General features: G+C 44.5%; 1 protein-coding gene across 12 annotated transcripts in view; it reads left to right on the top strand.

Moving 5' to 3' along the window:
* The window catches only part of PPP1R13B (protein phosphatase 1 regulatory subunit 13B), a 115620-nt gene that overhangs the window by 57901 nt on the left and 40270 nt on the right, over window positions 1-17449 (top strand). For all 12 annotated transcript variants that reach the window (XR_007063997.1, XR_001750206.3, XR_001750205.3 and 9 more), the window contains exons 3-4: window positions 6000-6119; window positions 12093-12169. Coding sequence is in view for 8 of the 12 variants with exons in the window: in XM_005267487.6 (XP_005267544.1) it covers window positions 6000-6119; window positions 12093-12169 (197 nt within the window). In the remaining 4 variants the exon portion in view is untranslated. The remainder of the gene's footprint in view (window positions 1-5999; window positions 6120-12092; window positions 12170-17449) is intronic.

The following is a 17449-nucleotide window of genomic DNA, read 5'->3' as shown; positions in this document are numbered from 1 at the left end:
TAAGTATAAACACAAGTTTATAGCTGTATTACAGGCACGCCATCACACCCGGCTAATTTTTGTGTATTTCTTGTAGAGATGAGGTTTCGCCATGTTTACCAGGCTGGTCTCCAACTCCTGACCTCAAGTGATCCGCTTGCCTTGGCTTCCCAAAGTGCTGGGATCACAGGCGTGAGCCACCCACGCTCAGCCTGTTTACTTTTGAGACAAGGTCTCATTCTGTCACGCAGGCTGGAGTGCAGTGGTACCATCTTGGCTCACTGCAACCTCCACCTCCCAGGCTAGTTTTCTGCACTTTTAGTAAAGATGGGGTTTTGCCATGTTGCCCAGGCTGACCTCAAACTCCTGAGCTCAAGCGATCCACCTGCCTTGGCCTCCCAAAGTGCTGGGATTACAGCCGTGGGCCACCATGTCTTGGGCCTCTTTTGTAGGGGCACTAAACCCATTTATGAAGATAGAGCTCTCATGACCTAATCGCTTCTCAAAGACCCCACCTCCTAATATTACCACATTGGGGATTCAGTTTCAACATATGAATTTTAGGGGAACACAAACATTCAGACCATAGCAGATTGTTTACGTTTTTGGTTCTTATGAATAAATCTCCTGTGAACATTCATGGACAAAAGTTTGTGTGGACATGTTTTCATTTCTTTTTTTTTTTTTTTGAGACAGGGTCTCACTCTGTATCCCAGGCTGGAGTGTAGTGGTGCCATCTTGGCTCACTGCAACCTCTGCCTTCCTGATTCAAGCAATTCTCCTGCCTCAGCCTCCCAAGTAGCTGGGATTATAGGCGCCCGCCACCATGCCCAGCTAATTTTTTTATTTTTAGTAGAGACAGGGTTTTACCATGTTGGCCAGGCTGGTCTGGAACTCTTGACCTCAAGTGATATGCCTGCCTCGGCCTCCCAAAGTGCTGGGATTATGGACGTGAGCCACCGGGCCCGGCCTTCATTTCTTTTGAATGTGGGTATAAGTCTAGAGTTCTCCTCTTTATCTTACACCTCATCTTCAAAAACTGTCAGACATGTTTGTTAAGACATAAACACTAATACAATATAAAGCAGGAAGACATAATTAATAACTAAGCAAGAATTGCAGGCTGGGCACAGTGGCCCACACCTGTAATCTCAGCACTTTGGGAGGCCGAGGTGGGTGGATTATTTGAGGTCAGTGGTTTGAGACCAGCCTGGCCGACATGGTGAAACTCTGTCTCTACTAAAAACACAAAAGTTAGCTGGGCGTGGTAGTGCACACCTGTAATCCCAGCTACTCAAGAGGCTGAGGCAGGAGAATCGCTTGAACCCGGGAGACAGAGGTTGTATAAGCCAAGATGGCGCCACTGTACTCTAGCCTGGGCACGACACAGTAAGACTCCATCTCAAAAAATAAAAAATTGGCCGGACACGGTGGTTCACACCTATAATTTCAGCACTTTGGGAGGCTGAGGTGGGGAGATCACTTGAGGTCAGGAGTTTGAGACCAGCCTGGTCAACGTGGTGAAACCCCATCTCTACTAAATACAAAAATAGCTGGGTGTGGTGGCGCATGCCTGTAATCCCAGCTACTCGGGAGGCTGAGGCAGGAGAATCGCTTGAACCCGGGAGGCGGAGGTTGCAGTGAGCCGAGATCATGCCAGTGCACTCCAGCCTGGGCGACAGAGTGAGACTCCATCCCCCCCAAAAAAAAAATTGCAAAAATACACAGTACAGTTCACTTTTAACCTACCCAATGTGTATTTTTAAGTGTTAACAATAGCAGAGCCAGGGAGTCAGCTCATGAGGTATAAATATTCTCTCAGTAGAATGAAAAATTCCAAGATTCCTATTTCAGAGCTAGAGCTTGTTTGTTGCTATAAATCAGTCATTAGCATATAAAGAGGTGTTGGGGAAGATGTTTCTGGAGGGAGAAGCTAATGCCATCAGCCCACCATCCTCTCCTCCCTGCAATACTCTCACCATCTACCAACTCCTGATTGAGAATGAACTTTATCAAAGGAACGTGGTCCTGCACACAGCCATTCAGGGCTGAGAGACCACTGTTGACATTGCTAACAGGGCTGCTTGGCCATTGTCTGTCACTCTAAATGCTAATATCATGTTCTGTATGAAGTTCAAAAATGCTAATTTTTTTCAGTTACAATATCTCATGAAGCCCTTAGTGACATCTTACGGAACTCTAGGTTTCTGTAGACTCACAGAGGAGAAACTTTTTTTTTTTTTTGCTTTGATTGTTTTGAGACAGGGTCTCGCTCTGTCATCCAGGCTTGAGCGCAATGGCAGTCGTAGCCTCAAACTCCTGGGCTAAAGGGATCCTTCCATCTCAGCTTCCTGAGTAGCTGCAATTACAGATGTGCACTGTCATGCCTGGCTAATGAGAAATGCTATTTTATAGTCTAAAAGTATCATGGACTTCTGCTTAAGTAGTATGAATAAACCATACATGCATCCGTATCAATCTTTGTTCTTTCCTGAAATTACACTAAAATTACAATGAAAAGGGATAAAATAGCTTAAAGCTACAAGGTTGAAGAACAGGATGTGATAGCATTGTAATATTTTGGAATGTTCAACACAGATGGATGGGTGGTTAATGACTTAGCAGACCTCAAAAAGCTAAAATCTAAGGTAACAGTAAGTCTGACTCATGCCAAAGAAGCTAGGGAAGTTTAAGAAATTGCAGGTGTTAATACTTTTGAAAATGGTGAGACTAAAAACAGAATTGGCTGAAATCTGTTAACCAATCTATCCCCCAGATCATTCTAGCATTTTTAATCTTTTTTTTTTTCATTTTTCTCTTTTTGAGACAGGGTCTTGCTCTGTCACCCAGGCTGGAGTGCATTGTGCAGTCATGGCTTACTGCAGCTTCAACCTCCTGGGCTCAAGCAATCCTCCTGCCTCAGCCTCTCTAGTCGCTGGGACTATGGATGTGTGCCACCACACCCGGCTAATTAAAAAAAAAGGAGGCTGGGCGCGGCGGCTCACGCCTGTAATCCCAGCACTTTGGGAGGCCATGGTGGGCGGACCACAAGGTCAGGAAATCGAGACCATCCTGGCTAACACAGTGAAATCCCATCTCTACTAAAAATAAAATTAGCCGGGCGTAGGTGGTGCACACCTGTAGTCCCAGCTATTCGGGAGGCTGAGGCAGGAGAATGGCGTAAAACCCGGGAGGTGGAGCTTGCAGTGAGCCGAGATTGCGCCACTGCACTCCAGCCTGGGCGACACAGTGAGACTCTGTCTCAAAAAAAAAAAAAAAAAAAATGTAGCAATTAAGTCTCACTGTGTTTCCCCAGACTGGTCTTGAACTCTTAGGCTCAAATGATACTCTTGCCTCCCAAAGTGCTGGGATTCAGGTGTAAGCCACCACGCCCAGTCCCTAGGGTTTTTTTTTTTTATATGCCAGCTTTTCAGTGCTTCTTGATAGAGCACGTGAGCTGATATGAACTTTCTTTTTTGAGACAGAGTCTCACTCTGTCACCCAGGCTGGAGTGCATGGAGTGAAGTAGCACGATCTCAGCTGTCCACAACCTCCACCTCCCAGGTTCAAGCAGTTCTCTGCCTCAGCTTCCTGAGTAGCTGGAACCACAGGCATGCGCCACCATGCCCGGCTAATTTTTGTATTTTTAGTAGAGATGGGGTTTCACCATGTTGTCCAGGCTGGTCTTGAACTCCTAACCTCAGGTGGTCCACCTGCCTTAGCCTCCCAAAGTGTTGGGATTACAGGCGTGAACTACCACGCCCAACCTGATATAAACATCTTGATTATGTAAAAGATTAGTTTTGCAATCCCAGCACTTTGGGCAGCCGAGGCAGGTGGATCACTTGAGTTCAGGAATTCAAGACCAGCCTGGCCAACATGGTGAACCCTGTCTCTACAAAAAATTCAAAAAATTAGCTGGGTGTAGGCCAGGCATGGTGGCTCACGCCCGTAATCCCAGCACTTTGGGAGGTCGAGGTGGGTGGATCACCTGAGGTCGGGAGTTCGAGACCAACCTGACCAACATGGTGAAACCCCATCTCTACTAAAAATACAAAAATTAGCCAGGTGTGTTGGCTCAAGCGATCCTCCCACCTCAGCCTCCTGAGTAGCTGGGACCACAGGCGTGCACCACCATGACCAGCCTTTTTTTTTTTTTTTTTTTTTTGAGACAGAGTTTTCTCTCTTATTGCTCAGGCTGCAGTGTAATGGTGCGATCTTGGCTCACTGCAACCTCCGCCTCCTAGGTTCAAGTGATTCTTCTGCCTCAGCCTCCTGAGTAGCTGGGACTACAGGTGCCTGCCACCATGCCCGGCTAATTTTTGTATTTTTAGTAGAGACAGGGTTTCACCAAGTTGGCCAGGCTGGTCTGGAACTCCTGACCTCGGGTGATCTGCCCACCTTGGCCTCCCAAAGTGCTAGAATTACAGGCGTGAGTCACCCCACTCAGCCACAACCCAGATTTTTGAAAAATAGGCATAATACCTGAGACAGTTCACAGAGAAGGAAAATGGAATGCATTATACATATAAAAGTGTTCCTTTAAATTCAACAACTGAGTTAGTGCTCTTCTCAAGTAATTGGTTAGATACTGGCCAGGTACAGTGGCTTACACCTGTAATCCCAGCACTTTGGGAGGCTGAGGCAGGCAGATTGCTTGAGCCCAGCAGTTCAGTACTAGCCCAGGCAACATGGCAAAAACCCCATCTCTACAAAAATTACAAAAATTATCCAGGCATGGTGGCATATGCCTATAGTTTCAGCTAACTTGGGAGGCTGAGGTGGGAGGATCGCTTGAGCCCGGGAGGTGGAGGTTGCAGTGAACTGAGATCATACCACTGCACTCCAGCCTGGGTGGCAGAGCAAAGACCTTGTCTCAAAAAAAGTAAAGGAGTGAGAGATTGTGAGTAAGCTTTGATTTTTAAAAAAATATTTGAAATACATTTAGTTATATAGGATTTAATTTTTATTAACTTGGTACTGACAAACATTCACAATAATGTTGCCTGAGTTGCCAGGAAGTGCCCTGTCCAGCCTTCGTACCTCTGATTGCCACGCCTGACATTTTAAGAAATAACATGGCCTGGTCAATTTATGTTTCTTTCAAGAATGGGAGGCTGAGCATAGTGGCTCACACCTGTAATCCCAGCACTTTGGGAGGCCAAGGCGGGTGGATCACCTGAGGCCAGGAGGCCAAGAGGCCAAGACCAGCCTAGCCAACATGGTAAAACCCCGTCTCTCCTAAAAACACAAAAATTAGCTGGTCATGGTGGTGGGCACCTGTAATCCCAGCTACTCAGGAGGCCGAGGCAGGAGAATCTCTCGAACCCTGGAGGCAGAGGTTGTAGTGAGCCGAGATGGCACTCCAGCCTAAGTGATAAGAGCAAAACTCTGTCTCAAAAAAAAAAAAAAAAAAAGGCTGAGTGTGATGGCTCACGCCTATAATCCCAGCACTTTAGGAGGCCAAGGCGGGTGGATCACCTGGGGTCAGGAGTTTGAGACCAGCCTGGCTAACATGGTGAAACCCTCTCTCTACTAAATACAAAAAATTAGCTGGGCACGGTGGTGGATGCCTGTGATTTCAGCTACTTGGGAGGCTGAGGCAGGAGCATCTCTTGAACCCAGAAGCGGAGGTTGCGGTGAGCCAAGATGGTGCCACTGCACTCCAGCCTTGGCAACAAGAGCAAAACCCCATCTCAACCAAACAAACAAATGAATGGGAGACACAGTGCTTTGTGATAAATAAGTTTTGTAAAAGGCATGTTTCAGTGTTCCCTATTTAATGTTGCAAAATTGCTTTCGTGGATACTTTTTGTGTTTATCTGTTGCCTAAATTATTTCCCATTCATATTCTTGCTTTTACTCAGTAATGTTGAAATTCAGTGCTTGTAATATCTTTGAATTGTAACATGTAGACATACATGTGTGCATATATACATTCATTTAAGTTTTTTACAAAATTTACTTTTGGTTGGAGTCATTTTAATTCTGGAGTAAAAAAGATGTGGTCTTTTTCCTAGAACGTCCCATACCCTTTGATCATATGATGTACGAACATCTTCAGAAATGGGGTCCACGGAGGGAAGAAGTGAAATTTTTCCTTCGACACGAGGACTCCCCAACTGAGAACAGTGAACAAGGTAGATAACTGCTTTCTTCCTCATTTGTTAATTTTTGCTAGGAAAGTTAATTTAAGAAAAATAGGAATAAATATTAAATTATTCACACACACCCGGCCCTGCACTTACAAGTGGCTAGAGGGAAAGTTGGTATCCCATGTTACTTTGGCTTCTGTTAGTGTTGTTTACCATTACGGCACTTTTTTTTTTTTTTTTTTTTTTTTTTTTTTTTGGAGACAGAGTCTCACTCTGTCGCCCAGGCTGGAGTACAGTGGTGCAATCTTGGCTCACTGCAACCTCCACCTCCGGAGTTCAAGGGATTCTCCTGCCTTAGCCTCCCAAGTAGCTGGGACTACAGGTGTGCACCACCACACCTGGCTAATTTTTGTATTTTTAATAGAGATGGGGTTTCACCATGTTGGCCAGGCTGGTCTCGAACTCTTGACCTCAAGTGATTTGCCCACCTCAGCCTCCCAGAGTTCTGGGATTATAGGTGTCAGCCACTGTACCCAGCCAATTACATCACACTTTTTAGGCACCAACGCTTCTTTCCTTCTCAGGACTCTAAGTTAATTAAACAACGTACTCAGACATATAAAGGGACTTGGTGTTTAAAGGGATTTTTGTTTTGTTTTGTTTTGAGATGGAGTCTCACTCTGTCACCCAGGCTGGAGTACAGTGGCACAATCTCAGCTCACTGCAACCTCTGCCTCCTGGGTGCAAGCGATTCTCCTGTTTCAGCCTCCCGAGTAGTTGGGATTACAGGCACCCACCGCCACACTAAAGGGATTGTTTTTGGTAAATATCAGATTGGTCAAACATCTAGATTTTAAAAATATATAAAACCATGAAAATACTAGAAGAAAGTTCTGGAAGATCTTTTATTTTTGAAGTGAACAAGGCCTTTGTAAGTGTAACACTAAAACATAAAAGACAAGACTGATAAATGAATTATTTAAAACAAAGCCTGGGTGCAGTGGCTCAGGCTAGTAATTTCAGCACTTTGAAAGGCTGAGGCAGGCAGATCACTTGAGCCAAGTAGTTCGAGACCATCCTGGGAAGCATGGCAAAACCCCATCTCTACAGAAAATACTAAATAGCTGGTTGTGTTGGTGGATGCCCTGTAGTCTCAGCTACTTGGGAGGCTGAGGTGGGAGGATCGATTGAGCCCAGGAGGTGAAGGCTGCAGTGAGCCATGATTGTGCCACTGCACTCCAGCCAGCCAGGGCAACAGAGAGAGACCCTGTCTCAAAAAATAAAAATAGGCTGGGTGTGGTGGCTCACGCCTATAATCCCAGCACTTTGGGAGGCCAAGGCAGGCAGATCACTTGAGGTCAGGAGTTTGTGACCAGCCTGGCCAACGTGGTAAAACCCCATCTCTGCTAAAAATTAGCCCGATGTGGTGGTGTGCGCCTATAATCCCAGCTACTCAGGAGGCTGAGGCAGAAAAATTGCTTGAACCTGGGAGGCAGAGGTTGTAGTGAGCCAAGATCAGGCCACTGCACTCCAGCCTGGGCGACAGAGCGAGACTCTGTCTCAGGAAATACATATAAATAAAACAAAACCAAAAATAACTGCATGGCAATAATATCTAAAAAAAAAGTCAAAAGATAAATTATAAACTGGGAAGTAGCATTTGTAGCTCATATTGCAAAGGGCTAATTCTCTTTACATGTAAAGAATTCCTAAAATTTGATAGGAAAAAAACTTGGCTAGGCGTGCTGGTTCCCACCTATAATCCCAGCACTTTGGGAGGCCGAGTGGGGTGGATTACCTGATGTCAAGAGTTCGAGACCAGCCTGGCCAACATGGTGAAACCCCCGTCTCTACTAAAAATACAAAAATTAGCCAGGCTTGGTGGCATGCATCTGTAATCCCAGCTACTCGGGGGGCCGAGACAGGAGAATCGCTTGAACCTGGGAGGCAGAGGTTACAGTGAGCCCGAGATCGCGCCATTGCACTCTAGCCTGGGCAACAAGAGTGAAACTCCATCTCAAAAAAAAAAAGCTTAGTAGAATAATAGAAAAAATATATACACACACAGTTCACAGAAAAGGAATATACATGGCCCTAGGATATATGAAGATATTCACCTTATTCCTAATAAAAGACATGCAGAGAAAACTATCTTGAAATACTATATTTTAACTGTCACATTGGCAAAGATTAAAACAGTTAATAGCACAGTGTTGACAAGGACTCTGAGAAACAGGCCGTCTTCTGCATTGCTGTGGGAGGCGGTTGGCACCTTCTATAGAAGGAAATTTGGCAATGGCTGTTAAACTTACAAAACATAAAACCTTTTACCCAGCAGTTTCATTTCTGAGAATTTATCCTAAAGCTGTGCCCTGGCACATACAAAATGATATATAAACAGGGTTATTCACTGAGCATTGCTGGTAGGAACAACCTAAATGCCCACCAGGAGAGCTGAGCTAAATAAATTAGGGTCCATCTACACAGCAGAATGCTCTGCAGCCGTAAATAATGAAGAACCTCTGTGCCCTGACCCAGACCATCTCCTAAACATGTTACATGAATTAAGCATGGTGCAAAAGAATGTGCACACTTAGTCTTTTTTTGTGGAAAGATGAGCAAAGAGTAATGTGCATATCTATCTGTTTGTATGTGTATATGTATAAAGCAGTTTTGGAAAGATATCTACGCAACTGGGGATGTTGTTGGCCTGGGGGGAAAGGGAAAAGTGGCTGTAGAACAGAGGAGGGAGGGTTGTTGATTGTATACCTCTTTGTTCTTTTTGATTTTTGAACCATGGGAATATACTATATATTTTTGAATTAAAATTTAAAGAAAATAAGGAAATTTTTTTGAACACGTATACACTGTACAGTTAAAAGACCTTTGGCCGGGCGCGGTGGCTCATGCCTGTAATCCCAGCACTGTGGGAGGCCAAGGAGGTTGGATCACGAGGTCAGGAGATCGAGACCATCCTGGCTAACATGATGAAATCCCGTCTCTACTAAAAATACCAAAAAATTAGCCGAGTGTGGTGGCAGGCGCCTGTAGTCCCAGCTACTCAGGAGGCTGAGGCAGGAGAATGGTGTGAACCCGGGAGGCAGAGCTTGCAGCGAGCTGAGATCGCGCCACTACACTCCAGCCTGGGCGACAGAGCGAGACTGTGTTTCAAAAACAACAACAAAAACAAAACAAAACAAAAAAACCTTTAACTTGTTAATTAACAGTGATTATGGATTACTTCTAATATTTAAAAAAATGAACTCAAGCAAATAAAAGGACAATCCTTTGTAAAAATAATACTTCTTTATTGCAAGTTATCCCCTTTATCTGTATTTTATAGTAAAGGAAAATTTGCCCTTGAATGAGCTACTATCTACTTTAAAATCATCTTTCCGTAGCATAAGGCTGTCTTTTAGAATACACCATTACATCTGGAGCCAGGACACCAAGGCTCCGGGCTCAACTCTTCATCTACTTTTACCTTAGACCAGGGTCCGTCCTCTCTGGGAACATCCACCTGAAGAGGAGGATTAGACTGGCTGACAGTTGAAGTGCTGCTTTAGTGCTAAGGATTTATTTTAACTCTCTACCTGAGTTCTTCAGACACCTATACCCTCCCTCACTTATCTATACTTAAATAAAAAGTCTTGCCTTTTACTTATTAATATGTACATAATCCTTAATGTCCTGAGGAGAGTGGTTATTTTTTTCTCACTTTATAAAGTTTGGAAACGGGCTGAGTATGGTGGCTCATGCCTGTAATCCCAGCACTTTGGGAGGCTGAGGTGAGAGGATTGCATGAGCCCAGGAGCTGTACATTCACTCTCTCTTTCATGCCCCGACTCAGAATTCCATCTTCCCCACCTGTAACACTCTACCCTCTGCCCCTTTACCTTTGCCTAAAAGGGTGGCATAGAGAGTAGCTTATTGGGTGCTGTCTCATGTTTTGTTTTGCTTTTGCTCACTAAACTTCTCCCTTCAACTTACTAATATTCTTTTTTTCTTTTCCTTTCTTTTTTTTTTTTTTAGAGACAGAGTCTCACTCTGTTGCCAGGCTGTAGTGCAGTGGCGCAATCTTGGCTGCAACCTTCGCCTCCCGGGTTCAAGCAATTCCCCTGTCTCAGCCTCCCAAGTAGCTGGGACTACAGGTGTGCACCACCATGCCGGGCTAATTTTTTGTATTTTTAGTAGAGATGGGGTTTCACCATGTTGGCCAGGATGGTCTCAATCTCCTGACCTCATGATCTGCCCGCCTTGGCCTCCCAAAGTGCTGGGATTACAGGCATGAGCCACCACGTCCAGCCCCCATCTCAGTGAATGTCTTTTTTTTTTTTTTTTTTTTTTTTTTTTTGAGACAGGGTTTCACTTGTTACCCAGGCTGGAGTGCAGTGGCATGATCTTGGCTCACTGCAACCTCTGCCTCCTGGGCTCAAGTGATCCTCCCACTTCAGCCTTCCAAGTAGCTGGGACCGCAGGCGTGTGCCACCACGCCCAGCTAATTTTTTGTATTTTTGGTAAAGATAGGGTTTCACGCTGTTGCCCAGGCTGGTCGTGAACTCCTGGTCTCAAGTGATCCTCCTGCCTTGGCCTCTGAAACTGCAGGGATTGCAGGCATGAGCCACCATGCCTGGCCCTAAAATGCAAATGCCTTTTGGATTTTTTTTTTGCTTTTAGTTTTGGTTTTTTTTGAGACAGAGTCTCACTCTGTCGCCCAGGCTGGTGTGCAGTGGTGCTATCTCAGCTCACTGCAACCTCCGCCTCCCGGGTTCAAGCAATTCTCCTGCCTCAGCCTCCTAGTTAGCTGGGATTACAGGTGTGCACCACCACGCCTGGGTAATTTTTGTAATTTTACTAGAGACAGGGTTTTGCCATTCGGGCAGGCTGGTCTCAAACTCCTGGCTTCAAGCAGCCTGTCCGCCTCAGCCTTCCAAAGTGCTGGGATTACAGGCGTGAGCCACCATGCCTGGCCGCAAATGCCTTTTTGAAAATTTTTTTCTTTTTTTTCCTCTCTTGGTAATATGAATGCCAAATTTTTATCTTTATGTTATTTTTGAGACAGGGTCTCACTGTCACCTGGGCTGGAGCGCAATGGTGCGATCATGGTTCACTGCAGTCTCTACCTCCTAGGCTCAAGCTATTCTCCTCAGCCTCGTGAGTGGCTGGGACTACAGGCACATGAGGCACATGTCACCATGCCTCGCTACTTTCTGTATTTTTTTTTTTTTGTAGAGACAGATTTTCGCCACGTTGCCCAGGCTGGTCTTGAATTCCTGAGCTCAAGTGATCCTCCCACCTTGGGAGAATCCCAGCACCTCCCAAAGTGCTGGGAATACAGACATGAGCCACCTCGCCCAGCCCCAAATTTTTATTTTTAATTGAGATAAAATACACATAAAATTTACCATCTTCTCCATTTTTAAGTGTTAAAAGCCTTTTGATAACAAGTCAATTTCAAGATTCTGAGATAGAATGTAAAAAGAAAAGATTTCATTTACACACTTTATTTCATTTATTTTTAATTTATTTTTTTTAAACAGGGTCTTGCTCTGTTGCCCAGGCTGGAGTGCAACAGAGCAAGATTGTGCAGTAGCCCAATCCTGACTTACTGCAGCCTCGACCCCTCTCACTCAAGTCATTCTCCCGCCTCAGCCCCCCAAGTAGCTGAGACTACAGGGTGCACCACCATACCCGGCTAATTTTAAAATATTTATTGTGGAAACAAAGTCTCCCCATGTTGCTGAGGCTGGTCTAGAACTCATGGGCTCAAGCTATCTTCCTGCTTTGGCCTCCCAAAGTGCTGGGATTATAGGTGTGAGCCACTGAGCGCAGCCTGAACAACTTTATATATAAAAGATTAATTGTAAGACCATTTTTTCAACTGTACTAAAGTCTTGAATTTCTCAGCCTGGTATTTTACACTTGTGTTCAATAAATATTTGAATACATGAAGAAATGGGAGAATATTACTTTTTTCTAATACGCCTTTTGGTGAGTTTGGTTCTTTTATTTCTTTAGGTGGCCGTCAGACCCAAGAGCAACGAACTCAGAGAAATGTAATAAATGTACCTGGAGAAAAACGTACTGAAAATGGGGTAAGTGACAGTGAATTAAATTGAATTTTAAAAATTGATGGCTAGGTGCAGTGGGTTACACCTGTAATCTCAGCACTTTGGGAGGCCAAGGTGGGAGGATCACATGAGGGCAGGAGTTTGAGATCAGCTGGAGCAAGATGGTGAGACCCTCTGTCTATAAAAGGTTTTAAAAAATTAATCAGATGAGGCCAGGTGTGTGGCTCACACATGTAATCCTAGCACTTTGGGAGACTGAGGCGCACAGATCACGAGGTCAGGAGTTGAGACCAGCTTGGCCAATCTGGTGAAACCCCGTCTCTACAAAAAAATACAAAAATTAGCCAGGCATGGTGGCATGCGCCTGTAGTCCCAGCTACTCGGGAGGCTGAGGCAGGAGAATTGCTGGAACCCGGGAGGCAGAGGTTGCAGTGAGCCAAGATCGCACCACTGTACTCCAGCTTGGGCAATAGAGACTCCGTGTCAAAAAAAAAAAAAAAAAAAAGTCAGATGTGGCCAGGCGTGGTGGCTCATGCCTGTAAATCCCAGCATTTTGGGAGGCCGAGGCGGGCAGATCCCCTGAGGTCAGGAGTTCAAGACCAGGCTGGCCAATATGGTGAAACCCTGTTTCTACTAAAAATACAAAAAAATTAGCTGGGCGTGGTGGTGGGCGCCTGTAATCCCAGCTACTCAGGAGGCTGAGGCAGGAGAATCGCTTGAACCCAGGAGGCAGAGGTTGGAGTGAGCCAAGATCGCACCATTGCACTCCAGCCTGGGCAACGAGCGAAATTCCATCTCAAAAAAAAAAAAGTCAGATGTGGTAGCATCTGCCTGTAGTCCCAGCTACTCAGGAGGCTGAGGCGGGATGATGACTTGAGCCCAGGAGTTTGAGGCTGCCATGAGTCATGATTATACCACTGCACTTCAGCCTTGTCAACAGAGTAAGACCCTGTTTTTTTTTTTTTTTTAATTGCTTTTTACCGGTAGTAATGAGTTTGGGTGATAACTTATTTTTAAATAATTATTTTGGGGGTAGATATTGTCATTTCTATTGAATATTTCAAAATATTATATGAAATTATAAAGCAGCAGTCACTGAGTGGTGTTACCTATTCACATAATGGTCCATGAATCAGATCATGTCTCCTTTGGAGCAGCCCTCCACCTGCCCTTCACATGCTGCTGCCATGTCCTCTCCTGGAGCAGGCAGTGGGTGCCTCTGTGCACGTAAACACAGCATCTCTGTGGCGGCAGATGGGCTATGGGCTTAGCTTGTAGACTAAGAGTTGAGTAGGCTGACTTGCTTTGCATCTTCAGTGTTGGTTCTGGATCCTCTGTCAGGTTTTGACAGACACAATGGATGGTGGGCTGCAGTGTCTTCCTCCATCATTGTGGTATAGACTTGGAGAATAGATGGAATGCTTATCATAGGTGAGGGGAGCTGTGGAGGAGCTCTTTGTAAGAAATGTTGGTGTTGGCTGGGCGTGGTGGCTCACACCTGTAATCCTGGCACTTTGGGAGGCCAAGGTCGGTGGATCACCTGAGGTCAGGAGTTCGAGACCAGTCTGACCAATATGGTGAAACCCTATCTCTACTAAAAATACAAAAATTAGCTGGTCGTGGTGGCATGCGCCTGTAGTCCCAGCTACTCAGGAGGCTGAGACAGGAGAATCACATGAACCCAGGAGGCAGAGGTTGCAATGAGCCGAGATCGTGCCACTGCACTCCAGCCTGGGCAAGAGAGTGAGACTCCATCTCAAAAAAAGCCGAAATGTTGGTGTATGTTGAAAGAATGAACCAAATAGGGACATTTTTAATGTGGTCTTTTCTGAAAATTTGAAGATAACTGTAACAAGTAATTTTAAGACTAGAGATTGAGTTTCTTTTTTTTTTTTTTGAGGCAGAGTCTCACTCTGTCGCCCAGGCTGGAGTGCAGTGGCCTGATCTGGGCTCACTGCAAGCTCCGCCTCCCGGATTCAAGCCATTCTCCTGCCTCAGCCTCCCCAGCAGCTGGGACTACAGGCGCACACCGCCACGCCCGGCTAATTTTTTGTATTTTTAATAGAGATGGGGTTTCACCGTGTTAGCCAAGATGGTCTCAATCTCCTGACCTTGTGATCCGCCCACCTTGGCCTCCCAAAGTTCTGGGATTACAGGCGTGAGCCATCGCGCCCAGCCTGATTGAGTTTCTTTTTCTGGCTGTAACACTAACTAGGCATCTAAGCTTAGGCAAGTTCCTTCCTCACACAGGGCTGGGCATGGTGAGATACTGGTAAAGTGCATGGAATCTAGAGTGTGACTGGCCCATGTTTAGCCCACTGGCCTCGGAGCTTTCTAATGAGCTGAATTTGAGCAAGTTATTTCACCTCTCTACTTCCCAACTTATTATTGAATTGCTAGTTCTTTTATTGGCTATATTTGTGACCCTACCTCATATACTTAAATCTCTGTTTATTTGTACTATCAACTTTAAACAGTATCTCTGGACCTTGCTCTTTGTAAAATGATAATATTAGGCCCCTGCCATCTTTCCTTCCTTCCTTCCTTCCTTCCTTCCTTCCTTCCTTCCTTCCTTCCTTCCTCCCTCCCTCCCTCCCTCCTTCCCTTCCTCCCTTCCTTCCTTCCTTCCAGCTCTTGCAGCTGTACCAGACTTTCATGTTGTAAAGGTTGACAATATTTGTATATTGTTATCTAACTATAAACCTTTTTTGCTTTGTCTGTAGATTGGTTATAAAGTTGAAAACCATTTAGCAGTTTCATTATTTTAGATTTTGCAGGTATTATCCACTGCAGAGCCATGTGGTATACTAGATTATATTTTCTTCTCTTTGGTTTCAATATCATAATCCTTCTGCCACTCAGGGAGAAATATTCCTGTTGTTAAGATTATAGATTCTCCCTCTTCACATTCCTGCCTTCTGTCATTGGAGTAGAGATTTGTCCACTGCAAATCAAGAGCCTCTACAGAGTTCTTCCAGGCGGATCTGCTTCAGGACGTCTTAAGAAATAGACGCACACACACCACTGGTAGAAATTTTCATTCAGTAAATCTGGAGTGGGGCCTAGAAAACTCCCCATGTGACTATGTTGCCATGCCAAGCTTGGGAACATCCAGGTTACACTTTAGCAAGCATTTATAGCTTGTTTGTCCAACAGAATGTTGAAGATCTTTTTGAGTTCTAAGATTTACCATGGGACGGGCGCGGTGGCTAGCTCCTGTAATCCCAGCACTTTGGGAGGCCAAGGTAGGCGGATCACCTGAGGTCAGGAGTTCTAGACCAATCTGGCCAACATGGTGAAACCCTCTCTCTACTAAAGATACAAAAATTAGCTGGGCATGATGGCAGGTGCCTGTAATCCCAGCTGTTCTGGAGGCTGAGGCAGGAGAATCGCCTGAACCCAGGAGACAGAGGTTGCAGTGAGCTGAGATTGCACCACTGCGCTCCAGCCTGGGTGACAGAGCGAGACTCTGTCTCCAAAAAAAAAAAAATAATAATAATAATAAGTGAAAGAAAGAAAGGAAGAAAGAATTACCATGACCTGAACTTCAGGGAAGATTAAATAGATACATTGAGTAGGCCGTGTGTTGAAGAAGTGAGGTGTGTTGTATATGATATAATATATGGAAGAGACTCAAAAGGAAAGCATTCCAAATGTATGATAAATTGGGTAGACCAGTTTTGATGTGATGAGACCTTTTCCTTGATGAAGTTTTTTCTTGTTAATAAGGAGATAATGTGTATATTTCAAGATCAACAAAATTGAAACCTGAAACCAAAGTGAAAAATGTGTTTTTATCCTTTATGTGGCTTGTAATTAGAGGAAGGTATGAGAGCTCCTCTAGAGGAATAATTTAGGATTGGAAGCATCACATCAAAGATGTTACTGTATTTTATGGCTTACACATCTACCTTTTAAGCTTAATAATACGTTACCTTCTAAAACACTTTATTGTCTACAGAGCGGTTTTACGTGCATTTTAAGATATGAAAAACATCTTCCCCCAAAATGTTTCTGTGTATACCTTGGTTATAGAATAATGACATGCTAATAAGCCTTCTAACTTCTGGGCTGAGACATCTAAGGATAGATTAAGGAGAGCTGTGAAGAAAGGGGGGAGTGTGGGTTGGAAGAGAAGGGCAGGATGCTGAGTTGGTGTGATTGATGTCCATCAGCAGCTGCTGAACTAAGAAGCCGGGGAAGTTCTGCTCTCTGAAAATTGTAGGCCAGCAAGTCAGGTTAATACTACTGTGCTGGTTTGTCATTATGCTATAAAGGCAAATTGATTTGTTCTCATTATATATGCCTGTGTTGAAGCTTCCAAGATGTCCCCAGGTTCCGTGGTTTGCTAGGACCACTCAGGACTAAGCATAGAGTTCTCTTGAGTTGCTACAGTGAAAGGATTCAGAGCCAGATCAGCAAAGAGGAAAGACACATTCGACTTAGGTGTCCTGGAAGAACTTTTTCCTGTCTTCTCAGCCAAGCAGTTTTAAAATCTGAGTCAGTTTTTGCTTTATTCTAGGATATCCAGTAAGTTGCCAAGACCAATTGATCCTACCCTCCTGTGTTTTCTTCTAAGAGCTTTATAGTTTTAGCTCTTACATGTAGTTCTATGATCAATTTTAAGTTAATTTTTGTGTATAGTGTGAGTTAAAGGATTCAAATTAATTCTTTTCCATGTAAATATCCAGTTATCCCAGCACCATTTGGTGAAAAGACTATTCTCTCTCCCACTGAATTGCCTGACACCTTTGTCAGATCAATTGACCATAAATGTGATGTTTATTTCCAGAAGCATTCATTGCTAATGTAATCACCCAGGCACCGTTTTCCATATGGTGCCCAAGACTCAACTGTGCCTATCATCTCCTAGGCCAGATAACATTTCAACTGTCTAGAGAAAAACTTTTAGACTTATGCCAGGAGAGGATAGAGGCAGTCACCTAGGAGCATGGAGTTGGGGAGTAGATAGGGATTTAACTGCCTCTTAAATATTGTTCACTCAGTCTGCCTTATTTTCAGTCCCTACATTTTATTCCCCTTTCCAGAGGTACATGGTGTTGTCAGTTCCTGAAACTTTGAAGATTCTGTGCTGTAACTGGAGTGTTTATCCAGTTTTACTCCTTCTGGCTTGAGGTTTGTCTCAGATGTACTAGGTCAGTTATTTCTCGTCTGTTCTTTTGCCAACTTCCAAACATCTGTGTTGTGTGCACTGCTGTTAGTCCCGCTTTTGTGGTTTTATATTATTTGATGTAAAAATCCCTTTACTGTCAATTAGTGGAGTTTTGGGATTTAATGAAATTG

The sequence above is a fragment of the Homo sapiens genome, chromosome 14, assembly GCF_000001405.40.
Source record: "Homo sapiens chromosome 14, GRCh38.p14 Primary Assembly".
NCBI lineage: Eukaryota > Metazoa > Chordata > Mammalia > Primates > Hominidae > Homo > Homo sapiens.
The sequence above is the reverse complement of the archived record's forward strand: the minus strand, read 5'-3'. Positions and strand labels throughout refer to the sequence as shown.